The sequence below is a fragment of the Homo sapiens genome, chromosome 15, assembly GCF_000001405.40.
Source record: "Homo sapiens chromosome 15, GRCh38.p14 Primary Assembly".
Taxonomy (NCBI): domain Eukaryota; kingdom Metazoa; phylum Chordata; class Mammalia; order Primates; family Hominidae; genus Homo; species Homo sapiens.
The window spans coordinates 33,734,501-33,760,618 of record NC_000015.10 but is presented as its reverse complement, the minus strand read 5'-3'; the positions used below and the strand labels follow the sequence as shown (position 1 = coordinate 33,760,618).

Below are 26,118 nucleotides of genomic sequence, written 5' to 3'. Positions count from 1 at the left end.
GTCTCTAAGGACTTGCTTTATGAGTCTGGGTGCTCCTGTATTTAGTGCACATATATTTAGGATAGTTAGCTCTTCTTGTTGAATTGATCCCTTTACCATTATGTAATGCCCTTCTTTGTCTTTTTTGATCTTTGTTGGTTTAAAGTCTGTTTTATCAGAGACTAGGATTGTAATCCCTGCTTTTTTTTGCTTTCCATTTGCTTGGTAAATATTTCTCCATCCCTTTATTTTGAGCCTATGTGTGTCTTTGCACTTGAGATGGGTCTTGACTATCCAATTTGCCTGTCTGTGTCTTTTAATTGGGGCATTTCGCCCATTTGCATTTAAGGTTACCATTGTTCTCTGTGAATTTGATCCTGTCATGATGCTAGCGGGTTATTTTGCCCATTAGTTGATGCAGTTTCTTCATAGTGTCGATTGTCTTTACATTTTGGTATGTTTTTGCAGTGGCTGGTACTGGTTTTTCCTTTCCATATTTACTGCTTCCTTCAGGAGCTCTTGTAAGGCAGGCCTGGTGGTGACAAAATCCCTCAGCATTTGCTTGTCTGTAAAGGATTTTATTTCTTCTTCAGTTATGAAGCTTAGTTTGGCTGGATATGAAATTCTGGGTTGAAAATTCCCTTAAGAATGTTGAATATTGGCCCCACCCTCTTCTGGCTTATAGGGTTTCTGCTGAGAGATCTACTGTTAGTCTGATGGGCTTCCCTTTGTGGGTAACCCTACCTTTCTCTCTGGCTGCCCTTAACATTTTTTCCTTCATTTCAACCTTGGTGAATCTGATGATTTCCTTGGGGTTGCTCTTCTCAAGGAGTATCTTTGTGGTGTTCTCTGTATTTCCTGAATTTGAATGTTGGCCTGTCTTGTTAGGTTAGGGGAGTTCTGCTGGATAATATCCTGAAGAGTGTTTTCCAACTTGGTTCTATTCTCCCCGTCACTTTCAGGTACACCAATCAAACGTAGGTTTGGTCTTTTCACATAGTCCCATATTTCTTGAAGGCTTTGTTTGTTCTTTTTCATTTTTTTCTCTAATCTTGTCCTTATGCTTTATTTCATTTAGTTGATCTTCAATCTCTGATTTCCTTTCTTCCGCTAGATTGATTTGGATATTGATACTTGTGTATGCCTCATGAAGTTCTTGTGCTGTGTTTTTCAGCTCCATCAGGTCATTTATGTTCTTCCCTAAACTGGTTATTCTAGTTAGCAATTCCTCTAAGTTTTTATCAAGTTTCTTAGATTCCTTGCATTGGGCGAGAACATGCTCCTTTAGGTCAGAGGAGTTTGTTATTACCCATCTTCTGAAGCCTACTTCTGTCAATTTGTCAAACTCATTCTCTGTCCAGTTTTGTTCCCTTGCTGGTGAGGGGTTGTGATCCTTTGGAGGAGAAGAGACATTCTGGTTTTTGGAATTTTTTAGCCTTTTTGTGCTGTTTTCCCCATCTTCGTGGATTTATCTACCTTCGATCTTTGATGTTGGTGACCTTTGGATGGAGCTTTTGCATGGGTGTCGTTTTTGTTGATGTTGATGCTATTGCTTTCTGTTTGTTAGTTTTCCTTCTAACAGTCAGGTCCCTCTGCTGCAGGTCTGCTGGAGTTTGCTGGAGGTCCACTCCAGACCCTGTTTGCCTGGGTATCACCAGCGGAGGCTGCAGAACAGCAAAGATTGCTGCTTTCTCCTTCCTCTGGAAGCTTTGTCTCAGAGGGGAACCTGACAGATGCCAGCTGGAGCTCTCCTCTATGAGGTGTCTGTCGACCCCTGCTGGGAGGTTTCTCCCCATCAGGAGGCACGGGGCTCAGGGACCCACTTGAGGAGGCAGTCTGTCCCTTAGCAGAGCTTGAGTGCTGTGCTGGGAGATCCGCTGCTATGTTCAGAGCCGGCAGGCAGGAACTTTTAAGTCTGCTAAAGCTGCGCCCACAGCCGCCCCTTCCCCCAGGTGCTCTGTCCCAGGGATATGGGAGTTTTGTCTACAATCCGGATTGGGGCTGCCTCCTTTCTTTCAGAGATGGCCTGCCCAGAGAGGAGGAATGTAGAAAGGCAGTCTGGCTACAGCAGCTTTGCCGTGCTGTGGTGCGTTCCACACCCAGTTCGAACTTCCTGGCAGCTTTGTTTATACTGTGAGGGGAAAACGGCCTACTCAAGTCTCAGTAATGGCAGACACCCCTCCCCCAACCAAGCCCGAGTGTCCCAGGTCGACTTCAGACCGTTGGGCTGGCAGCAAGAATTTCAAGCCAGTGGATCTTCACTTGTTGGGCTCCATGGGTGTGGGATCCGCTGAGCAAGTCTACTTGGCTTCCTGGCTTCAGCCTCCTTTCCAGGGGTGTGAACAGTTCTGTCTCGCTGGTATTCCAGGTGCCACTGGGGTAGGAAAAAAAACTTCTGCAGCTAGCTCAGTGTCTGCCCGAACGGCCACCCAGTTTTGTGCTTGAAACCCAGGGCCCTGGTGGGGTAGGCACCTGAGGGAATCTCCTGGTCTGCAGGTTGTGAAGACCATGGGAAGAGCACAGTATCTGGGCCAGAATGCACCGTTTCTCACAGCACAGTCCCTCATGACTTCCCTTGGCTAGGGGAGGGAGTTCCCCAACCCCTGCACTTCCTGGGTGAGGCAACACCCCACCCTGCTTTGGCTCGCCCTCCTTGGGCTGCACCCACTGTCTAACCAGCCCCAATGAGATGAACTGGGTACCTCAGTTGGAAATGCAGACACCACTCTCCTTCTGCGTTGGTCTCGCTGGGAGCTACAGACCAGAGCTGTTCCTATTCGGCCATCTTAATCTCTGTCCCGATGTTGATTTAATTATATACATCTTTCCCAAGCCCCACGGGTACTCCCACACAGTATACCTCAATTGGTTGCTGAAATAATTCAGATATGTATGAATATAGTTTCTTTCGAAACTCAGATGACAAACCAAAACATCATCCAGTTTCATTTCTCCAAAAGACTCGCCTTTTAGTCCACAGGGACCTGGCATTTTAAGTAAATTGCATCAGCACCATCACCTTCCCTTTATCTTGTAGACTCACCCGGCCACCATTTCTTTCTCCTTATGGGAGGCATATCCGCTGCTGCTAAGGGGCTTCAGAGGGGATGACAAGAAGTAGAGGCAATGACTGGTGAAGTACTGGTCAACCAGCGGGAGGAGAACCTGGGAAACGCACCAGAAATCAACTTCTAGGAAGCTATCCAAAACTCTTCATTTGGTTCATTTAAAAGTGTTTATTTTCAGTGAGCAAAAAGCCTCTGAACCCTGGTCCTGTAATTTCCAGGAAATTCTACCCCTTTGGTCCCAGTTTCCATCGTATTTTCCTTTTCTATGCCTCAAACCAGAGTCCTTAAGGGCATGTGAAAGGAGACAGCCATGGACTAAGGGCCCAAAGAAATGTGTGCGCATTTGCAGAGGAGTCCTACGAGACAGCTGCACTCAGATAGGGCTTCTTGGGCGCTGCATCTAAGAGGCACTCAAGGCATGGCTTAGTGCCACTAGCCTCAAGCATTCTGTCTGCTTCTCAGAGCAAGGCGACTCAAGCCCTTCTGTGCCTTTAGTCCTCTGAGCAGGGCTGTATGGAAGAGACTGCTAACTTGAGCCCAAATTCATTCTCCCCTTCTTCCTTTTGGCAACAGGATCCCACTGTGTTTTAGCTGGATAGAGAGCCACCCAGGCAGAAAACGTATCACCCAGTCTCCCTTGCAGCTGGATGAAGCTCAAATGGAACTTAAACAGGTCCTGTGCCTTCTCCCGGTCCCTGAACTTTTCCTTGGCATTCAAGGTATCATATCGTACCAGAAGAGGGTACCATATGTACCATAAGGGTAAACCTGTCATCTCTCACCTTATTGACCCCAGACATACTGCCTGGGGTCAGTAAGGTGAAAGATGACAAGTTCTAGCCATTGGGATAGAACTTTTAAAAAGCAACAGCTTGCCTTCCCTTCTCCTTTTCCCTTTCCCACAGATGCAGTGCAGGTGAGCCTGTCTGAACCACGCACACAGGCCACACCTCCGGAGATGGTGGAGTAGCAAGAGAGGAAGAACCTGGGTTCCCAGGTGATGGTGTGGGGCTAGGCAGACTGCATCCCTCCTTGGACTGCCAGCCTCCCTTGGGACTGTTACACGACAGAGAAATATACATGTACCTCACTGAAGCCATTGGAGTTTTAGATATCTTCACTGGATCCACTTAACCTGTTTCCTAAATAGTAGAGATCCTAAGAAGAAAGTAATTTGATTAAGTGCAGGGCCACTTACTTTGGCAAAGAATTTGATCTCCTGGTCACGGGGAGACTTTTCAGTTTTCCCACTGCTGACAATGGCTTCTACGAAGACACAGGTAACACAAAGTTGGCCAGAGTTACGAAGTAAAAATCAGTCACAACATTTTAGAAACAGAGCAGCTTTTCTAAAGGCTATTTAAAAAGGCTATCTGATTTCACAAAATATATCTTACAAAGTACTTTACAACTGTCCTGGTTAGCTATTTCTTGTGTCAATTCTTTAAGCTGTTTCACTACCCTTTTTTCTACTTTAACAATCAGAAAGCAGCTTCAAGGCTGGGCGCGATGGCTAACACCTGTAATCCCAACACTTTGGGAAGCTGAAGCAGGTGGATCACTTGAGGTCAGGAGTTCGACACCAGCCTGGACAACATGGTGAAACCCCATCTCTACTAAAAATACAAAAATTAGCCAGGCAGGCGTGGTGGTGGGCACCTGTAATTCCAGCTACTTGGGAGGCTGAGGCAGGAGAATTGCTTGAACCTGGGAGGCAGAGGCTGCTGTGAGCCAAGACTGTGCCACTGCACTCCAGCCTGGGCAACAAGAGCAAAACTCCATCTCAGAAAAAAAAGAAAGAAAGCAGTTTCAGAGAGGTTGAGTCATATGTCCACAGTCATAAAGCAAGACAACAGGAAAGTTAAAATAGGATAAGTTGTGCGAAAAAATGACAAAAGGTTCAATCAAGTCCACTATAAAAACTAAGGAGTTTTTGTTTGTTTGTTTGTTTGTTTTGAGATAGAATCTTACTCTGTCCCCAGGCTGGAGTGCAATGGCACGATCTCACTGCAACCTCTGCCTCCCAGGTTCAAGTGATTCTCCTGCCTCAGCCTCCCAAGTAGCTGGGACTACAGGCGTGCACCACCACACTCAGCTAATTTTTTTTGTATTTTTAGCAGAGATGGGATTTCACCATGTTGGCCAGGATGGTCTCCATCTCTTGACCTCATGATCCGCCCGCCTCGGCCTCCCAAAGTGCTGGGATTACAGGTGTGAGCCACAGCGCCCGGCCGGATTGATTTTTTTTAAGTTGGGGGAAAAAAATTTCAGCCACTGTTTTCCCCCTAAAATCATGCACCTAAATGAATCATAAAAAGTTACAGTCTGAAAGGATTATTTCTTGATAAAAGAATATTGAATTCTTTTGGGTTATTTCATGATGATACTTACCTAAATGGGCAATAAATTCTTGAGCAGAATCAACGTATTTCAGGATCTTCTTCAAGAACTTATAGGCAAACCTCTTCTCCATGGAGGAGGCATCCAGCTCCATATCCTTCATACCCCTACGTTGGACATGGACAGACCCCAGGAAGTAACAGAGACAACCATGTCACTCAGGTGCACCACCAGTCCTACCAGTGTTGAATTTAATTTCCAAATGTTAGTGGTTATTCTGGCGTAGTGACATGACTCATCATTTGACTGATTTCCCCTCTCACTTGGAACCTACCTATGTGAGCACAGATTTTTCAGAAAGACCTTTATCATTCATACAATGAGTACTGAGCTAGAGATGTCTGAGGGGAAAGCAAAAATCTCTGCTCTTACGGAAAGAATTTACATGCTAGCTGTAAACAGAAAAAACAAAATATAAATTAGATGGAATCTTAGAAGTTAACACATTTTGTGAATAAAAGAAAAATTAAAGCAGAATGAAAAGGTCCAGACTGGTCCAGAACTGGTCCAGAAAGGCCGGCCACCGCGCCCAGCCTCTGGGTATATTTTAAAGGTAAAACTGCCAGGGTTTGCAGACTGTAGTGTTAAATAGGGTAGTCAGGGTTGGTCTCACTGGGAGACTGATGCTGCAATAAAGGCTTGAAGGAGATGAGGAGGTGAGCCATATGGACATCTGGGGAAATAGTTCTTAAGGTGGGGCGAAGAGACAGTGCAAAGGTCCTGAGGCAGGAGCATGCATGTTGCGTTGAAGGTTAAAGCAGTGTGGGGTAGGAAGTGGGGACAATCATGTACGTCCCTACAGGCCATCCTTAGGATTTTGCTTTTGCTCTGAGTGAGAAGGGAAGCTATTAGAAGTTTTCAATAGAGAAGTGACATGACATGACTTGCATCATAACAGGATCACTGGTTGCTGTGTTTAAAATTGACCATGGTGGTGAGTCAAGTGTAGAAGCAGGGAGCACAGGCAGGAGGATGAGGATAGCATGAAGTGGGTGAGAAGTGGTCAAATTCTGGGTATTTTTATTTTTGAGATGGAGTCTCACTCTGTCGCCCAGATTGGAGTGCATTGGCATGATCTCGGCTCACTGCAACCTCTGCCTTCTGGGTTCAAGCAATTCTCTGCCTCAGCCTCCCGAGTAGCTGGGATTACAGGCACGCACCATCATTCCTGGCTAATTTTTTGTATTTTTAGTAGAGATGGGTTTCACCATCTTAACCAGGCTGGTCTTGAACTCCTGTATCTTTCTTCTTGATTTCCTCCTATTTCCTTGACTTCCTTTATCATTACAGTAAACGGGAATTTTTCATTGCTGTGAGCAAGTTATTTATCAGCAAATCACACCACAGATTCATCTTGGTGTTAAGAACAGGATTAAAATGACGACGGGAGTCTTTCTCGAATGCTTCCCCGGAGGCTATCTCCTGCTGTCTGACCTTTCCTGTTCGACAACACGGCAAATAAGTCTTGCTATTTTTTTCATATGAGATACAATAGAAATGTTTGTACAGATTTTTATTTTTATTTTTGCCATTCGATGGCAAAAAATCTATAGGAAACTAGAAGAAACAGCAGCTTGCTCAGTAAATGTTTCTTTTAGGAAGAATGGCTATATCGGAATAAAAACACCGGCTTTTCATTTGACAAAGAACTCAGCAAGCATGATCCTACGTAGCACAGCCCACCAGCACCATTTGACCAGGGAGAAAACAGCCTGACTTTAAGATTTAAGCAGCCAATGCCATCCTATATAAAACATTCACCTAGATGATTTTGACTTATGTAAGTTTGAGATAAAACATCTTAGGACATCATGATGCATTCAATCTCTCCAGTAGAGTTGTATCTTCATAATAATCAATTCCCTTTGTTCCAAGACTGCTTATGTCAGTTATGCTTGCTATTATTACTATGTAATTTAATAAGATATCATATAAAACAACAAATAAAAGTATGAAGAGAACTGCTGACTCTATGAAAACTAAGATGCATATTTTGTAAAGACCTGCAATTGCAGGCTTCCAAATACGTAATTTTTGAATTAGGTATGGGTGAGAAAACTGTCAAAGATAAGGGAGGAAATTTGAAAAATATCTAGGGTACTACATAATCCATCACACAAACAGAACCAATGACAAAAACCACATGATTATCTCAATAGAGGGAGAAAAGGCCTTCAATAAAATTTAACATCCTTCATGCTAAAAACTCTCAATAAACTAGGTATTGATGGAACATCTCTCAAAATAATAAGAGCTATTTATGACAAACCCACAGCCAATATCAAATAAGGTATCAAATGACAGCTATTTATGATAAACCCACAGCCAATGGGCAGAAACGGGAAGCATTCCCTTTGAAAACAGGCACAAGACAAGGATGCCCTCTCTCACCACTCCTATTCAACATATTATTGGACGTTCTGGCCAGGGCAATCAGGCAAGAGAAAGAAATAAAGGGTATTCAATTAGGAAAAGAGGAAGTCAAATTGTCTCTGTTTGCAGATGACATGATTGTATACTTAGAAAACCTCATCAACTCAGCCCCAAATCTCCTTAAGTTGATAATCAACTTCAGCAAAGTCTCAGGATACAAAATCAATGTGCAAAAATCACAAGCATTCCTATACACCAATAAAAGACAAACAGAGAGCCAAATCACGAGTGAACTCCCATTCACAATTGCTACAAAGAGAATAAAATAACTAGGAATACAACTTACAAGGGATGTGAAGGATGTCTTCAAGGAGAACTACAAATCAATGCTCAACGAAATAAGAGAGGACACAAACAAATGGAAAAACATTCTATGCTCATGAATAGGAAGAATCAATATTGAGAAAATGGCCATACTGCCCAAAGTCATTTATAGATTCAATGCTATTCCCATCAAGCTACCATTGTCTTTCTTCACAGAATTAGAAACAACTACTTTAAATTTCATATGGAACAAAAAAAGAGCCCGCATAGCCAAGACAATCCTAAGCAAAAAGAACAAAGCTGGAGCCATCACGCTACCTGACTTCAAACTATACTACAAGGCTACAGTAACAAAAACAGCATGGTACTGGTACCAAAACAGAGATATAGACCGATGGAATAGAACAGAGACCTCAGAAATAACGCCGCATATCTACAACTATCTGATCTTTGACAAACCTGACAAAAACAAGCAATGGGGAAAGGATTCCCTATTTAATAAATGGTGCTGGGAAAACTGGCTAGCCCTACGCAGAAAGCTGAAACTGGATCCCTTCTCTACACCTTATACAAAAACTAACTCAAGATGGATTAAAGACTTAAACATAAGACCAAAACCATAAAAGCCCTAGAAGAAAACCTAGGCAATATCATTCAGGACATAGGAATGGGCAAAGACTTCATGACTAAAACACCAAAATCAATGGCAACAAAAGCCAAAATTGACAAATGGGGTCTAATTAAACTAAAGAGCTTCTGCATAGCAAAAGAAACTACCATCAGAGTGAACAGGCAACCTACAGAATTGGAGAAAATTTCTGCAATCTATCTGTCTGACAAAGGGCTAATATCCAGAATCTACAAGGAACTTAAATTTACAAGAAAAAAAAAAAAACCTCATCAAAAACTGGGTGAAGGCTTTGAACAGACACTTTTCAAAAGAAGACATTTATGCAGCCAACTGGCATACGAAAAAAAGCTCATCATCACTGGTCATTAGAGAAATGCAAATCGAAACCACAATGAGATACCATCTCATGCCAGTTAGAATGGCGATCATTAAAAAGTCAGGAAACAACAGATGCTGGAGAGGATGTGGAGATATAGGAATACTTTTACACTGTTGGTGGGAGCGTAAATTAGTTCAACCATTGTGGAAGACAGTGTGGCAATTTCTCAAGGATCTAGAACTAGAAATACCATTTAACCCAGCAATCCCATTACTGGGTATATACCCAAAGGATTATAAATTATTCTACTATAAAGACACATGCACACGTATGTTTATTGCAGCACTGTTCACAATAGCAAAGACTTGGAACCAACCCAAATGCCCATTAATGATAGACTGGATTAAGAAAATGTGGCACATATACACCATGGAATACTATGCAGCCATAAAAAAGGATGAGTTCATGTCCTTTGCAGGGACATAGATAATGCTGGAAACCATCATTCTCAGCAAATTAACACAAGAACTGAAAACCAAACAGAAAACCAAAAGCAAACATGTTCTCACTCGTAAGTGGGAGTTGAACAATGAGAACACATGGACACAGGGCGGGGAACATCACACCCCAGGGCCTGTGGGGGTTGTGGGGGTAGGGGAGGGATAGCATTAGGAGAAATACCAAATGTAGATGACAGGTTAATGGGTGCAGCAAACCACCATGGCACGTGTATACCTATGTAACAAACCTGCACGTTCTGCACATGTACTCCAGAACTTAAATAATAATAAAAAAATATCTAGGGTACTGCATTTACCCTGTTATCATGTGCTGCAAATTATCACCACTCTTTAAAGAAGCCCAAATTCCAAAGCTTTGAGGTTGTATTATGGATGTCATTTATAACTCCAATAAAGAGAATATACAAAGAAAGGGCCTTAGCCCATAGCACAAGGTTTGTGAATGAATGCATGTTTATATATTTTAAGTTACAATGAAATGTTTAAGGTATGTAGGTATAATTTGTAATAATTCTTTGTTGTCACTGATCTTTAAAAATTAATACCTAACATTTCTGCTTATATCAAAAAAAGAGGGCTTCATGTTCTAAAATAAAAATGTTCTCATTTTAAAAGACTCAATTGTTCTCCTTACTTGGATGGGTTTTGTAGGCACGTAATTAAATATCTAGGGAGGCACAGCCCTGTCCCACTAGCATCACATGGAAGGTGACTTACCTGGAAACTATGATGCCATTCACTTGGAGGAACTTAAACAGGTCCTGTGCCTTCTCCCGGTCCTTGAACTTTTCCTTGGCAGTCAAGGTGTCATATGGTACCAGAAGAGGGTGGCTGCCACCACCTGGGGTCAGTAAGGTGAGAGATGACATTTGGCTCTTCCTTTGCACTTCTGGGAGACCATAGCTGCCCCGGTTCAGCTTCTTTAGGGGATGCTGTGAACCTCACTCACCTTTGCTCTCCAGCTCCAGCTTCTTCTTCTTGGCCCAGATATTGTGATAGTTCTCAGCCACGACCTCCACCATTCCCTGTGTCCCACCAAGAAGAGCCAAGTCAAAAAGAAAGAAAGCAGGCAAGCTGGCTTCATAGCTGCTAGGTCATTTCAGGCAGCCTCGGGAAAAGCACACCACTGAACACTAACAGCAGACGGCCAAGGGCTTCCCATCATTAATTAGTGTGTGCTTATGTACCTCATTAGTTTCCTATCCTCCCATACACATAGAAAACAATTTCTAACTCTGTCCTTCCCTTGTAACTTATTATTCTGGCAGTTTGATGCATTTATGAGAAACATCCATTTCCACTTGAACCCGCATGCTGGCAGCACATCATTTTTCACAGCAGCTTGGTATTGTACTCCTGACCTCAGACGGGGAGTTGGGAGTGCGGGCCAAGAAAAGTCTAGAACCCCCGAAAGCCTATAGCTTAACAAACTAAAAATAATCACGTCTTAAAGGAAAGTGCTGTAAATAAGATTTCTCTAGTAGAATCCATCTTTGTAAGGCTTGTAAAACAGTGACTTAGAATGAAGGATGTACTTTGGAAAGAAACTTTCTCGAAGGTCCAAGGGGCTGGTCTGATGGACTTCCAGAGGGTGAGTGCTCCAGGCTAGGGCAGGCCACAGCCACCAGTGTGTACAGGAGGGGAGCAACGGGAGGAAGCAGCTTAGGGCTTTCAGTTTCAACCCCTTGGTCTTACATTCCTATATCCTGCAATGATTGCCTGCCTGCACCATCACAGGGAGCTCCAGCAAACCCACTGTGGGACGTGTGGGCTGTCCTTATGTTTTGGGGGCCTTACAATGACCAGCAAGCACCTCCATTGAGGTGCTAAATTTCACAGATTTTGTCCTAGCTGTCTTATTTATTTTGGTTTTTGATACAGTATAGTCAGCCTTCCTTAACCATGCGTTCTGCATCTGTGGATTCAACCAATTGTAGCTTGAAAATATTTGGAAAAAAATGTGTCTGTACTGAACATGTACAGATTTTTTTCTTGTCATTATTCTCTAAGCAATACAGCATAACAACTATTTATATAGAATTCACATTGTGTTAGGAATTATAAATAATCTAGAGATAATTTAAAGTATATGGGGGGATGTGTGTAGGTTATAGGTAAAACTATGCCATTTTATATCAGGGACTTGAGCGTTCGTGGGTTTTGGTATCTGTGGGAAGTCCTAGGGTAAAGCTTTCATGGATGCTGAGGAATGACTCTAGTGCGCTGGTGGTGCTTCCTACTGAGTCAGCATCCATCATGAAGTCCTTAGAAGAAGCGCAAAGCCTCCCCTTGGAGGATTGGTTCACTCTGCAGAGACTTTCCCTGTGGCCTCTGCACAAGGTGACCGTCTTCAGTTTTGAATTTTAGTGGTGATATGTTCTAGGCATTCTTTCCCTTTTTTCCCCCTTTAACTCTTTGGAAGGTAATGCGTCCTGCACTTGAAAGCAAGTCATGCTGGACCTGGGGCACTGACCTGGAGCTCTCTGGAGAGCACAACGTTTGAGAGGTCGAGGGGAGCAGGACTGTAGCTGTTGCCCTAGGAAAGCAAAGGCAGAGTCACTGGGTTGCCATTATTTTCCTTGTTCTTATCAGGCATCCCCAACTTCAGCTGTCAAAAATGTGTCCTGAAAACTCCCCAGGGTTCATCTTAGATGGTCCCACCTACGATGCCCCAGGCAGAACATTCCCAGATTCTCCATGGCTTCCATCGGCCCAGCGTGGGCCTCTGGGTGTGGTGTCATACCTGGTTGGCCTGGGACACACTTCGAAGCTTCTCATTTTCCCGCTGTTGAACCAAAGCTTCTCCCTCTTTGGTCCTCTCCACAGTCCAGCCCACAGCCAGCATGGTTTTCAGGGACTCTCGCGCAGGCCAGCGATAAATTTCCTTCTCCTAGAAGAGAATTTGAGCAGAAGCACTTTGCAGAACACACCCCAGCATTCTCCCTGGCCCATCTCCGCATGGAAGGTGCATCCCACTGTGGGTGGGGGTGCTAGTTAGCACCAGCCTTCTCTCACAAGGTCAAAACATCCTTTGTGGCATCTTACCCGAAACACAGTCTTTCTGGTGTTTTTAGATATAAGACCCTACGGTCTTTCCTGCCCTGGGAGGAAATGTGCCAGACATTATTAATGACATTATCTACATTCTGTAGACGAAGAACAGGAATGGGAGAGTGGCTCCTCATGTTCTAGTAGTTGTTGAAGATTGTCAAAATGCATCTGCATAAAGCTCTCCTGTGAGTTTGGGAAAGATAATTTCTTAGATTTAGAATTCTTGTGGGCTGGGCACGGTGGCTCATGCCTGTAATCCCAGCACTTTGGGAGGCCGAGGCGGGTGGATCACCTGAGGTCAGAAATTCGACACCAGGCTGGACAACATGGTGAAACCCCATCTCCACTAAAAACTCAAAAATTAGCTGTGCGTAGTGGTGCATGCCTGTAGTCCCAGCTACTCGGGAGGCTAAGGCAAAAGAATTGCTTGAAGCCAGGAGATGAAGCTTGCACTGAGCCAAGATTGCACCACAGCACTCTAGCCTGGGTGACAACAGTGAAACTCTGTCTCAAAAAAAAAAAAAAAAAAAAAAGGGTGACAACAGTGAAACTCCGTCTCAAAAAAAAAAAAAAAAAGATTTCTCTTTTGGTCTATGTACAATTTAATAGGTAGTCAACATGAATGCAAAGATACATACACCAGCCTTTACATGTGACACTAGGCCTAGGCCTAAAGCTTACTAAGAATCTTACAGATTGCAAGATAAGAATTCAGAGTTGAGTTAAACCAAATACGTTAATTAATTAATTTTTTTAAGCAAGAGATGCATTCTCTTAACCATATTTTCTTGAGGATTCTCTTCTCTATTACCTGTATCTTCCATGTATTAGAAATCATTTTTGGCTGGGCATGGTAGTTCACACCTGTAATTCCAGTGCTTTGGGAGGCCGAGGTGGGAGGATTGCTTGAGGTCAGGGGTTCAAGACCAGCCTGGCCAACATGGCGAAACCCCGTCTCTGCTAAAAAATTACAAACATTAGCTGGGCATGGTGGTGCATGCCTATAGTTCCAGCTACTTGGGAGGCTGAGGTGGGAGGATCACTTGAGCCCGGAAGGTGGAGGTTGCAGTGAGCCGAGATCACACCACTACACTCTAGACTGAGTGACAGAACGAGACCCTGCCTCAAAAGAGAAAAAAAAAAAAAAAAGAAGAAAGAAAGAAATTATTTTTGTCTGAATTTTTTCTTTTTCTTTTCTTTGAGATGGAGTCTCGCTCTGTCACCAGGCTGGAGTGCAGTGGCGTGATCTTGGCTCACTGCAACCTCTGCCTCCCGGTTTCAAGCAATTCTCCTGCCTGGCTAATCTTTGTATTTTCAGTAGAGATGGGGTTTCACCATGTTGGCCAGGCTGGTCTTGAAGCCCTGACCTCAAGCAATCCTCCCACCTTGGTCTCCCAAAGTGCTAGGATTACAGGCATGAGCCACCACACCCGGCCTTGTCTGAATTTTCTCCAGCAATTTCACCGTGCCTTCTCCCTGCCCCGCCCTAACCAAACCCCTTCCTGGTTCAGTTCAGTTGCAGAACTACAAATGCATTTTGGCCCAGCCTCAAAGTGCTGAACAATGCTTCTTTCACCAATGGCCTCTCAAAGCCAAAGAACAGAAAGTGAGGCTGGGCTCTCGGAAACTGGTCCTGAGGCACTTGCCCACTGGCAAGCTTGTGAACAGTTTACTGAGTCCTAGATGATGATGTTGTAGGGACGTGAGAGTGAATGTGCTCTGAACTCCTCTGATAAAATCACTCAAGGAAGGAAACAGCATGGTCACACAGTGTTACCAGAGGCCTGCTTCTTACCTTCTCCGTTAATGTCTTGAAAGGCCTTATCAGTGGGTGGGTCTTCACATTTTCATCCAGGGAAATCCCATATTTCCATCCACTCTGACTCTGTAGAAATGTTCTCAGTTCAAATATCCTTGGCACGCAAAGAACCCCGCTATGTGACCCAAATCCCTGCTTCTATTTTCATGGAGCAAGTGGAGTAATGGATAGTGACAGGGCTTAGAAATTCTCCTCAAAAATGCCTAATTGATCTTTTCAGGCCATCAGGCTCTCCGCCTCCTGAATCTTGAACTCTGCTCTTTTATTCCTTCTTGTTTCAGTTGCTGTCCTCTCCACTTTCTCACTTGTATTTCAGGCCCTCTTAAAACAGCATGTTTCAAAAGGCCCTGGGAATGGTGCTTCTCAGGTTAGAGTACTCCCCTCGCAGGAAGAACAGAGGCTAGGACTGGAAGGCCTGGGAAGACTGGACCTATTGCCACTGCCTAGAGGGGCCATTTGCCTTGCAACCCTTGCCTGCCAGTGCCAGAGCAAAAGTGTAGTGATGTGTGCTTCCTAGAGTCACAGAAGTTTAAGAACTTTTAGGGTTATTCAACAAATATTGGGTGAATGTCTTCTATGGTACACACCAGACTCTGTCCGAGGCACAGTGGATACAGAGATAAGTAAGAGCCCCTGATTTCTGTAACTTCACATCCCCAAGACTCCTGGCTGCTCTTTCTCAATCTCTGCTCCTGTCCATTTGTTAAATGTGTATATTTCCTAAGTTTCTGTCCCTTCTCAAGACATATACTTCCTGGGTGATCTAATTTAGGCCCTTGGTTTCAGTTACCACCGAGAAGAGGCTAGTATCAAATCAGTACTTCCAGCGCAGAAACTCCCTCCTAGTTTCAAACCTATTTAAGCTTTGCTTGGATGTTCCACAGGCACCCCTCAAATTACTTCTCTACATGTCTCCTCGTGGGTCCCCTGGATGAAGTGGAGTGAACAGCCCCAGCTTATGCTCACTTTCCAAGCCAATGACATGGGAGTCCTCCTTGACACCACTGCCTGTACCCCTCCCATCATTTGTCTGTCTGTCTGTCTGTCTCTCTCACCCACTTCCCTGCTAGTATGTTAGTTCAGGCCACCATTAGCTCTCACTGGGGTTACTGCAAGAGCTTCCTAAGCAGCCTCCCAGCCTCCAGTCTTGCTGCCTCTCCATGGATTCATTTTCTACACTATTGTCAGGGGATAGTCAAAAATCACAATCATTTGTGGGCACACTACTGACTTCGAATGTTTCCAACAGCAAGCTGCCATCCTGGTAAAACCCACATGTTTTCAAATGACCTGTAAACCTAAAAAGGTGATCATGTTGACCTCTCCAGACTTATCTCTCACCCTCTGTACCCATCCTACTCCATGTCCTAGCTATACTGAACCATGGTTCCCTAAAGCCAAACTGTCTCTTGCCTCCCTGGGTCTGCACCTGCTGTTCCCAAGGCCGGCAGCGCGCTTACTTCCTTGTGACAAATGGCTCCCACTCATCCTTTAGCAAATGCTGTAGATGTCACCAACTCTGGGAGGTGTCCCTGGACCCCCGGTACTGGATTAGGGACTCCTATGTGTTCTAATCCTGTGCTCATGCTCACCATAGCCCTGAACAAGCTGCCCCACAATGGCTGGTTCATTTTGTTTCTCCCACAAGATCATGAGGCTTTTGAGGGCAAGGAAAATACTCTTTTTCTTGTGAGATAATCAGCGCCGCCTGGTACTGGTGAGCAGCATGTATCTATGCCCTCATGAAGCTTACAATCTAGTGGCAGAAAGAGATATCAATCAAATAACCATACAAGTGAATGTAAAATTGATAAATAGAATAAATGTGTAGATGTTTAACTGTTATAAATACAAATACCTAAGCGTGCTACGAAAGTACTATGAAAGAGAAGAACAAGGTGCTAAGAGGGCCCAGAGCTGAGAAATCTGAAAAATGCCATCCTAGGAATTCATGCTTGGAGTGATATTTGCAGGATGAGTTGGTGAACGCTGTGAGAATGTGTGTGAGTACAGGCGGGTATCTGGCAGGCTCAGGCAGAGGAGGGTCTCTGGCATGTGTAGTGCATATGAGAGAGTGAGTCTAAAATAAGGGGAGGTGGCTGGAGGGCAGAGGGCAAAGGAGGAGATGAGGCTACAGATGGTAGCAGAGGTCAGATCAGGCAGTGCCTACCAGGCCATACCAAAGATTTTGACCATTGTCTTCAGAATAGTTAGAAATTATGAAAGGATTTTAACAAGGAGAGGGGCTGGGTAGGAGAAGCAGTGGTAGAATATGTATGATTCAATTTGTGTACTGAAATTCTGACTTGCTTGCAGTATGAAGAACAGACTGGGCAAATGCACTTGAGGAGACCTGCAAGGAGCTTATCCCAGTCGTCTGGGTGAAAGACGATGGCAGCTTGGACTGAAGTCATAAGAACAGAGACAAATATACAGATATAAGAGAGACTCGGGAGTTCAAATCCACATGGTTGAGTGATGGCTTGGCTAATGCTGTGGGCTCCTGGAGGTGACTCTTCTCCCTAATTCACAGGCTGGCCAAACGGCCATAAGCAAGGAGTTCTCAGAAAACGCAGATGCTCTAGAGCAAGGGCCACCTGGCTATGCCCCCTAAGCCAAATCTAGCTGGCCACCTTTTTTTAATTAATAAAATGTGATTGGAACACAGGCACCCACTTTTGTTTATGTTTTCTCTATGGCTACTTTTGTGCCGCAACGGCCAAGTGGAGTTGTTGCAATGGAGATGGTCTGGCCCTTGCAGCCTCAAATGTTGACCATTCAGCCCTTTACAGAACAGATTTGCCAACTCCTGTTTTAGAATCATGAGGTATTAGCCCGTTCTACAGTTACAATGATAGCTGTTATCATCAGCTCCCAGTAGACTCCTGGAAGGACGAGCTGAGCCTACATCCACACAGAGGCTGAGCTGGTGGTTCAAGGTGTCCCTTCTCTGTGGGCACATTGTATGGAGGTGGTTTTCTGTGGCTTTGCTGTGGACATGGGTCCACTGTTACACACCGTAGGCTGCAGCTGAGAAATGGCCCCAATCCTTAACTGGCTGCCCACAGGAATCCTGGATATCCTTGGCACAGTCTTCCCACTTTGCCTGCCAGTGTTAAAGGGTTGACACAGCAATGAAACTTATTAAACAGCCTGACCTCATGTGGTGAGGAATTTTAAACACCAGATGGAGAGCCTTATTAATAAGGGAGTGTCTGGGAGTTCTACCACTGCCTACCATAAGAAGACGATTGCATGTCTTCCCTAGAATAAAATCCAGCCTTCCAGAAACATGTAAGGGTTAGGCTTTCAATTTCATTTTTTTTTTCCAATCTGCATTCAAAGACAAAAATTAAATAGCAGCCTTCCCATTCCCATTAAGCATTTACGTCAAACACATACAAGCCTGTGTTTGGGCACAACTCCAGTAAGTAAATGTTAAGAAAGAAGTTAACACTTCCAGAATTGATCATTTTCTTGAGAAATACAAAAGCAACACCAGCAGCTGCTGTCACCTATTTCTTTGACCTCCACCAACCCTGGGAAATTGCTGCTCAGAAATAATGAATGCTCTCGGCATGGAAAATCTGTTACTTAGACAAATCAGGCAGATTTCCAGGACTGGGCCCTTTAATGTTCTTGGGCTGTTTTTCCTTCCTGACGATTGTCAGTTGGATGATAATCCCTACCTTGTCACAGGCCCATTTATCATGTGAATGCTCAGCATACTTGGTGACGATGTATTCCAATTTTTCAGGCAAGGAAAAACTGTGAAATGAGGAAAAAAAATTACAACCTCCCCAAGCACTTCAGCCAGACATAGTAGAAGATAGTCAGAACTACCAATCAACCAGCTGTCAGAAGGTGGATTTGATCAGCCAGCCAATCCCAAAGCTAAAGCTGGACTCCAGGCGCAGTGACATTCCTGAGTAGGGGTGGCATAGCCAGGGTTAGGTCACGGACGCACCCAAGTCTAACCATGGAACATCTCTGCAGGAGCCTTGGCTGGGAAGGCCTCCTGCCATGTGCTCCAGGGTCTCTTGGCTCCTGGGCCAGACCTGTCTTGGTTAGACAGCGAGAATCCAAGGTAAATGGCCTGTCATCCTCTGGCTACAATCTGGAAATGGTAGAAATGGGTAGCCAGAGAGCCGTATGTTATGAAATAGTGGTTTTCTACCTTTTGGGGCTCAGTGGCTCATGGTAAAATACTCGAATTTTGGGGCCGGGCGCTGTGGCTCACGCCTGTAATCCCAGCACTTTGGGAGGCCGAGGTGGATGGATCATGAGGTCAGGAAATCGAGACCATCCTGGCTAACACGGTGAAACCCCGTCTCTACTAAAAATACAAAAAAATTAGCCGGGCGTAGTGGCTGGTGCCTGTGGTCCCAGCTACTCAGGAGGCTGAGGCAGGAGAATGACGTGAACCCAGGAGGTGGAGCTTGCAGTGAGTTGAGATGGCACCACTGCACTCCAGCCTGGGTGACAGAGTAAGACTCCATCTCAAAAAAACAAAACAAAACAAAACAAAACAAAACTAGAATTTTGGCAGTACAGTAGACACCTGCTATTTCTGTTTTCCCAGAAAACAGCTCTTGTCCCTTCTGTTGGTATCAGCACCTACATTCCCTTTGCATTGCACAGTCTTATATTGCATGCAGTGTTATGTGAACTGTCACCAAGGATGGGCATATGACTGGGCAAATCAGACTTTCTCTCCACGGAATTTAAGTCTTGAGTTGGGTGAAACTAGGGCAGTAAATTCTTCAAGGTGATTTACCCAATGGGGACACCTGAAGATTGTCGATTTCCTCCCTGTGCCTGATTGCAGTCCTTCCCTGGTGACTATGCGTGCTAAGGCCAGGTTGGCCTTTCACTAGGTCTTGATAATGACCCCATATTCTTGCAATAAGGTGCTTTTCTCCTTAAGCCAGGGTTAGTCTCCATTCCTCACATTCCTCAAGGAACTATGTTGATGTCACAGGTACACTGGAATAAATCTGAACTCTCAAAATAACACAGAGCCATTAACACACAGTTGCTAGAGTATAATGTTTTCTCAGAACGTTTTCAAAAGCATCCAAGTTACTACGCCATTTGCTTTGTCTTTCTTTAGCACTGTTCCCTTTTTATAGGCAGAGCCCTCCCAAGTCAGCACCTGCCTTCTTTGGCCCAAGCTTGATGGTTCACCATGCTTCTTACCTCTTACTTAACAGCAGTTTCAATTCTGTCTCACCATCCCCACAGCTCAAAGCTCTTTCCAACGGAATGTGTGTTTAATTGTCCCAAAGACGAATGTTACACATGATCAAAGCAGACAGTCCCCCTGGGAAGGGTTCAGGCTTTCATTTGAGAACTACTGCCATGAAGGACAGGTCCAAGGGGCTCATATAGGCTCAGGCTTACTTTCCCTGCTCACTCTGAAGCAGTTTTAGAGCTCTTCATTTAAAATGCACCTGGAGCTGACTGTATACCCTACAGCGCATATTCATAACTGGGCAGAACTACCACAAGCCAAAACTTAGCAATATTTTGCCCAAGGGATAAGCACACCTCCATGGCCTAGTCAACACCAGTGAGAAATTCTGGAAAATTACAGGGAGAAAGTAAAAGGTGCAATGGTAGGGCTATTCTGAAGCTCCAGCATCCCTCGGCATGGCAAAGAGCAGGTCCAGCTTTTCCAGTGAGGACCCCACACTGTTCTGCCATCACACCGCAGCCTTGCCAGGACACAGCTGAGTGTTATTTATGGAGCTGTTGTGATGTATGATGCTATTAGAACCATATGAGCCTAATTCACCATGAGCAAAGATATTGTCAAAAAGCTCATTAATAAATTAATTGCATAATTTGTCAGGGTAGTTCTCTCAGTGCCTCAGGAGATATTTATGTGTGGGAACGTCTATCTCTGGTAAAAAATAAACCAACCCTTTCCTCCCCCACCAAAAACCCAGAATATAATAATACAGATATGTATGGATTAAACCTTGTGCCTGATGGGACTTGACACATCAAGAGAAATGATGAACAGTGTTGGCAGGAGGGAAAGAGGTAAAGCTCACATTTCTTGCTACCCTCTGGAAGAAAACATTGGCTATTGGACAAAATACAGCACCAGCTCAGAGATGATTCTGGACTCACTTCATGGTGTTAATAGGTTTTGGGTCAAAGTTGCCATCCGCATCCACTGAGATCTGTTTCTCCAACGTGGCTGTGATTCTGGTATCTAAATAATCTGGTGGCAAGGCCCCAGCTATAGCACTGAGACAAGGCAGGGCCATTCGGAAAAGATCTGGGTCATATTTCTGTGAGGGAAAAACAAGGCCACATTAGTAGAGAAAGCAGAACCATGCCTTTAGACAGAACCAATCACCAATCAGCTGAAAACAGAAATAAAATACGCGCATTTATCCAGGTTAACCAAAACGGGAAATGTGTAACCCCTTAAATATTTTCTGGTGGAAATGCAGGTATCCTTGGAAAATGAAATAACACTATAAATCCTCAAGTCACCATTTGCTTTAAGTTGAAAAATCTTAAAACAGGCTTAAATCAATATCTCCTAAATGACTAATTTCAAGACTACCTAAGGGTTAAAGTGACTAGGCGCTAGGCCAGAAGGTGACTATAAACTTGTCTGCTAAGGATGGTCACAGAAACGGACCCAACTTATAACTGGAGAGGGCACAGTAAGCTGTGCCAAGCTCTGCAGTAGCTGATATGGGTCATATGTTGACATCATCAGCAGGCTGCTCAATATCCATCATTCTCTCTTGAACCCAGCCAGAAATGAATTTCAGTCAAATGGCATGGGGTTGGGAAGAGCTTTTGATCTGCTTATACTAGACCAACGAAATCCAGGGGTAAAGAAAATTTAAGTGCAGGTGAACAAGCTATGTGCATGTTCTAGATTTCTCTAAGAAAACCAGACCTACTCATTTTCTACCTTTAAAGCTCCTGACCTCACAAACTGGGTTAGGGGAAGTGGAGCAAAGTCTAAGAGTCAGAGCTCTACTTCAATCACACCGTTCAAGTAAGGCCTGGGATTCAGAGGCTCTCAGTTCTCACTCGAAGCCTCCTCAAATGAGTGCTTGCAAAGAACCTCTCCCAGAATGGCTTAAGGTCTTCTGGAAATCCCCTGTCCCACCATCACAGCAGATGTCAGGACTTTTCCTCTTGGCTCGAGCCTAGTGAAGGTTGGCAGACAGGAGCCACACCAAATCAGGGGGAAACGAATGGGGAGGTAAGACATCAAAGACTGACATCAGATGATCTGTGTGGAATTCACTCTGGTAGTCACTTTCCCTCGTACAGCTTTGTGAATGTGAAAATTTATTCAGCTACTCTGAGGCTTTTCTTCACCTGTAAAATAAGGATTTTGAGAGTTTCCATTTCAGAGAGATGGGCAAGGATTGGCGTAATATGCTTGTGAAGTACTTAGCACAGGTCCTGGCAAATGGAATGCTAAACAGATGACGGCTGTTATTATCTGTAGATGCTGGAGCACTGAGATGCTCTCTTTTTGTTCAGAAAGTACTGTCATTACCTTATGGGAGAGCGAGTCAAAAATCCCCCAGAAAAGCTTCTCCGTTAGGTGCAGCTCTTCTTCCACAGCTAGCCCGTAGCTCCCCCATCCTGAAGGCAGGCAGTAATACTTCCAACACTGTTCATAGTGATTCGTCAGAAGCTGGGAGGTGCAGAACAGGACAGACCAGCGGGGTGGCATAGAGAAAGTCCACAGGCATCAAAAACATGCAGGAGAGAATCAAGTAGTAAGCAGAGACCATGAGAATGAAACATGCGAAACAGCTGGGCTGTCTACAAAGAGGCCCTTCAAACACCGCTGGGAACAGTCTGCTCTCAAGCTGGGAACAGTCAGCTTGAGCCTGAGCGGATCTGCCTGATTAATTCTTATGCCTCCTAATGTGCCCCCTAGCAGTTACTAGGAAATGGAGAGGAGCCGTTTCTAGTTCACACCAGAAAGTGCTACCTTCTGAAAGTAGCCACTGTGAGCTGTTCTAGCCAGTCAGGGGTGGAAATAATTTCTTCTGGGACCTTTGCTTGTAATTCTGGAAGATCTTTGGGGGATGCTGATATGGGGAGAGGATGGTGGGCTGCAAGTCGTGGGTCTGAAGATTTTCTCTCGTCAATTACTACCCGTTGTTTCCTTGCCCCCACTCCCCGTGCCCGCTCCCTCTCCCCTCTCTCACACCCCAGTGACTTTACAGCAGTTTCACATCTCGCCAGTAGAGGGCAGAAGTTACCAGTAATGTTTCCATCCCAGCAGGTGTGATCCATGTCCTCCAAGAAAAATCCCACAGATTTGAGAGGTAAAAGTGAGCTTATTGAGTGATATCAATAATGCCTCTTCAAAGCCAGTATCCAGCTGGCAGCAAAGGCTTGCAGAGGAAGCAATACCAAATTAAGATGGTAATACTTTAACTATGGTTTTCAGTTAAAGTATTTTTTTGAGATGAAAACTGGGGCTGCTAGAGAGTAGAATTAGCCCTTGGAGGACTGTGGAATCTCTAAGAACATACAAACTGTTTTCTGCCTGGCATGAAGACAGGGGATTGAACTAAAGCCCTCTGGGAATTCTTGTTAGCACAGTAAAATGCTGCCTGAAATGCTCGCTTGGACTATAAAGGAAAGTGCTGTTAAAATCATTAGGTAGGATTTTCAGGTGTGGCTAGCCATTGCTAACACTTTTGCATATGGGAATATGGCAGGTGCCTCAGAGATAAAAGGTAAAAAACACTGTCTGCTTGGGTGGATGACTGATTCTGGTGTCCTCCCACCAGGCCCAGATGCCTCTAGTGATAAAATATTTGTAATTTATGAGAAAACCAGAAACAAGACAATAAAAAAAAGGGAAGGCCAGGCATGGTGGTTCACACCTGCTGTAATCCCAGCACTTTGGGAGACTGAGGAGGGAGGGTTGCTTGAACTCGGGAGCTCAAGGTTGCAGTAAGCCGTGGCTGTGCCACTGCACTCAAGTGTGAGTACAAGAGCGAGACTCTGTCTCAAAAAAATAATAATAAAAGAGAGGGGTCTGTGGTCTTTTTGTTAAGAAAGAGAGCCAGGCACAGTAGCTCATACCTGTAATCCCAGCACTTTGGGAGGCTGAGGCAGGTAGATCACTTGAGGTCAGGAGTTTGAGACCAGCCTGGCCAACATGGTGAAACCCCATCTCTACTAAAAAACAAACAAACACACAAAAATTAGCTGGGCATAGTAGCATGTGCCTCTAGTCCCAGCTACTCAGGAGGCTGAGGCAGGAGAATTGCTTGAACCTGGGAGGTAGAGGTTGCAGTGAGCTGAGATCTCACCACTGCACTTCAGCCTGGGTGACAGAGCAAGACTCCATCTCATTTAAAAAAAAAGTAGAAAACAAACAAACAAAAAAGATTTCTTACAAAGAAGAAAAGCACAAAACAGTATGGAATAGAAAAGGGACATTTTAATCAATTTAATGAAAAACCACAGGGCCTTCAAAGCTTTTTGAGATGAACACAATCTGAAAACCTAATTACATTGGGGAAGCACAAAATCTAAGTCCTCGTATTAAATGCAGCTAAATATCAAGCAGTCAGTGGAAAGCAGTTAAAGAAAATTGGAGCAATTTTCTTCAACCTCGGCATTCAAGAAAGGACTTGGTTTTGTGGGATCTATCTTGTTAGCTAACCATCAACTTAAGGGAGTAAAACCCATTTAGCATGTATTTTTCCTTCTAAATTGTGAAGACATCACATATTACAAGGCAAGTTTCCTGTGCAATAGACTGTATTTCTGTAACAATAGTGATGTTTACCTTGAGAGGCATTTTGCAGTATTCATTGAGTTGCGGCACATCAAAAACGAGGCGTCGCAGGAGTTGCTGTAACATGGAAGGCCTCAAGTGACTGCAGTATGAAATGACAAACGTAGATAAATAAAATGAAAACATAATAATAAAGGAGGAATGAAAGAAACACTGAACAATAAGCATATTACAGCCAAGCCTCAAAACAGCTCCTAATACACAAGATCTCGGATAAACAAGAGTAGATGATGAAACACTTGAAAAGAGTACAGTTAAAATTCAGAAAAAGAGTGCTAATGAATTGGGATACCCGAAGTGGAATTCTAATTGCTATGTGACAAAATGTTCTAGGATATATGCATACTCAAAATATAGTCACTGATTATGTGCAAAGAATATAACAGAAAGAAGGTGCAGTTCATTTTCTAGTCATCTCTAAGGTCCCCTGAACTCTGCAGAGGGAGAAACTGGCGTTGAGCAGCTGCACAGGTGGAATCTGAGGCCACCTACTGGTGCGATTTGAAGAGAACTTTAAAGCCCTCCGCCTTATGATCTGGGCCATGAAATTCTCACTACTGGAATCATTTGTTTGGGGTAAGGCTTTGTTCTCAAAACAACTCCGTTAATAGGCAAACACAGTAACTATTTAAAGAATAATCTATCAAATTACAGAGTTCATGGCACAAATAAATTTTGAGGTAGAGAAAGGAGAGATAAGCAACACGAATTTTGCTTTTTTTACATTGCCAAACTTTAAAAAAAACCTAGTGGAACCTATGGTTTTCTCCAGAGAAAGGTGTACACACATAAACACAATTTGGTATATAAGTTCAGCTCATGAATCCCTGGATTTTTTCCACTATTGCCTAAGGAGCTAAGGAGGTAAAGCTGACACCCCTTTGTTAAATGTTGGAATGCCAGGGAAGAAATCCTTGGAGCATCTACAATAAGAAGGATGTATGCAGATGGAGAACAAAAGTCGTCTGTTTCACAACTGTTTCTGGAGCTGGCCTTGTGATAAAAAGCCCCAGGGTGAAAATACACAGCAAGTAAGTAGCCTTGTCTCAGAATCCAATAGTTAGAATGCAAAAATCACTCAATGTTTCAATTATTCAGCTAATTAGCAATTGTCACCTAAGATTCACTAACTTGAATACAAAGAGTGCAATAAGTCTGTAATTCTGTGAATTCCTGACTTATTAAAATAAACAATGAAAAAACCTAGTTAAGTATCAGTTTGCCTGCTACATCTAGAGCTCAAGTGATCAAGAAGAAAAGCTCTAAAAGTACAGTAATAGGGGCTGTGAGCTCTACTTTTTGTTTGATGTAAAATTCCAATTTCTCGGCCAGGCGCGGTGGCTCACGCCTGTAATCTCAGCACTTCGAGAGATCAAGGTGGGGTGATCACCTGAGGTCAGGAGTTCGAGACCAGCCTGGCTAACATGGTGAAGCCCTTTTTCTACTAAAAATACAAAAAATTAGCCAGGCGTGGTGGCGGGTGCCTATAGTCCCAGCTACTTAGGAGGCTGAGGCAGGAGAATTGTGTGAACCTGGGAGGCGGAGTTTGCAGAGAGTGGAGATGGCACCACTGCACTCCAACCTGGGCGACAGAGCGAGACTCTGTCTCAAAAAAAAAAAAAAAAAAAGAAAAAAAAATCGAATTTCTCCAAAGTCTGATTCTTTAGAAATATTTGCAGCTCAAATCAGTCTCACCAATGCGACTTTGTTATTAGGAAACAGCTTATGTTGGGAGGCAGGGGTCCTTGGTTGATGTGGTTTCTAAAATACACCTGGAGTTCAGCTCCAGCAAAAGGTGGAACACGATCGCAGCTGT

The 26,118-nt window shown here is 44.1% G+C and overlaps 1 protein-coding gene across 20 annotated transcripts in view, besides 2 other annotated features; it reads right to left on the bottom strand.

Annotated features, from left to right (window-relative positions):
• RYR3 (ryanodine receptor 3) overlaps positions 1-26,118 on the bottom strand; it is a 555,136-nt gene that overhangs the window by 105,484 nt on the left and 423,534 nt on the right. For all 20 annotated transcript variants that reach the window (XR_001751370.2, XR_001751371.3, NM_001036.6 and 17 more), the window contains 12 exons: positions 24,294-24,384; positions 22,029-22,169; positions 20,624-20,787; positions 18,175-18,253; positions 14,462-14,551; positions 12,359-12,505; positions 12,089-12,151; positions 10,565-10,640; positions 10,333-10,456; positions 5,439-5,554; positions 4,246-4,313; positions 3,023-3,144 (listed from right to left, as the gene is read on the bottom strand). Coding sequence is in view for 18 of the 20 variants with exons in the window: in NM_001036.6 (NP_001027.3) it covers positions 3,023-3,144; positions 4,246-4,313; positions 5,439-5,554; positions 10,333-10,456; positions 10,565-10,640; positions 12,089-12,151; positions 12,359-12,505; positions 14,462-14,551; positions 18,175-18,253; positions 20,624-20,787; positions 22,029-22,169; positions 24,294-24,384 (1,281 nt within the window). In the remaining 2 variants the exon portion in view is untranslated. The remainder of the gene's footprint in view (positions 1-3,022; positions 3,145-4,245; positions 4,314-5,438; positions 5,555-10,332; positions 10,457-10,564; positions 10,641-12,088; positions 12,152-12,358; positions 12,506-14,461; positions 14,552-18,174; positions 18,254-20,623; positions 20,788-22,028; positions 22,170-24,293; positions 24,385-26,118) is intronic.
• Positions 1,565-2,227: an enhancer, noted in NCBI's record as "H3K27ac-H3K4me1 hESC enhancer chr15:34050593-34051255 (GRCh37/hg19 assembly coordinates)". NCBI's record gives its function as "activates a minimal SCP1, AML or CMV promoter by ChIP-STARR-seq in naive H9 embryonic stem cells {active_cell/tissue: H9 hESC(naive)}" and the evidence as "EXISTENCE:reporter gene assay evidence [ECO:0000049][PMID:30033119]".
• Positions 22,028-22,568: an enhancer, noted in NCBI's record as "NANOG hESC enhancer chr15:34030252-34030792 (GRCh37/hg19 assembly coordinates)". NCBI's record gives its function as "activates a minimal SCP1, AML or CMV promoter by ChIP-STARR-seq in primed H9 embryonic stem cells {active_cell/tissue: H9 hESC(primed)}" and the evidence as "EXISTENCE:reporter gene assay evidence [ECO:0000049][PMID:30033119]".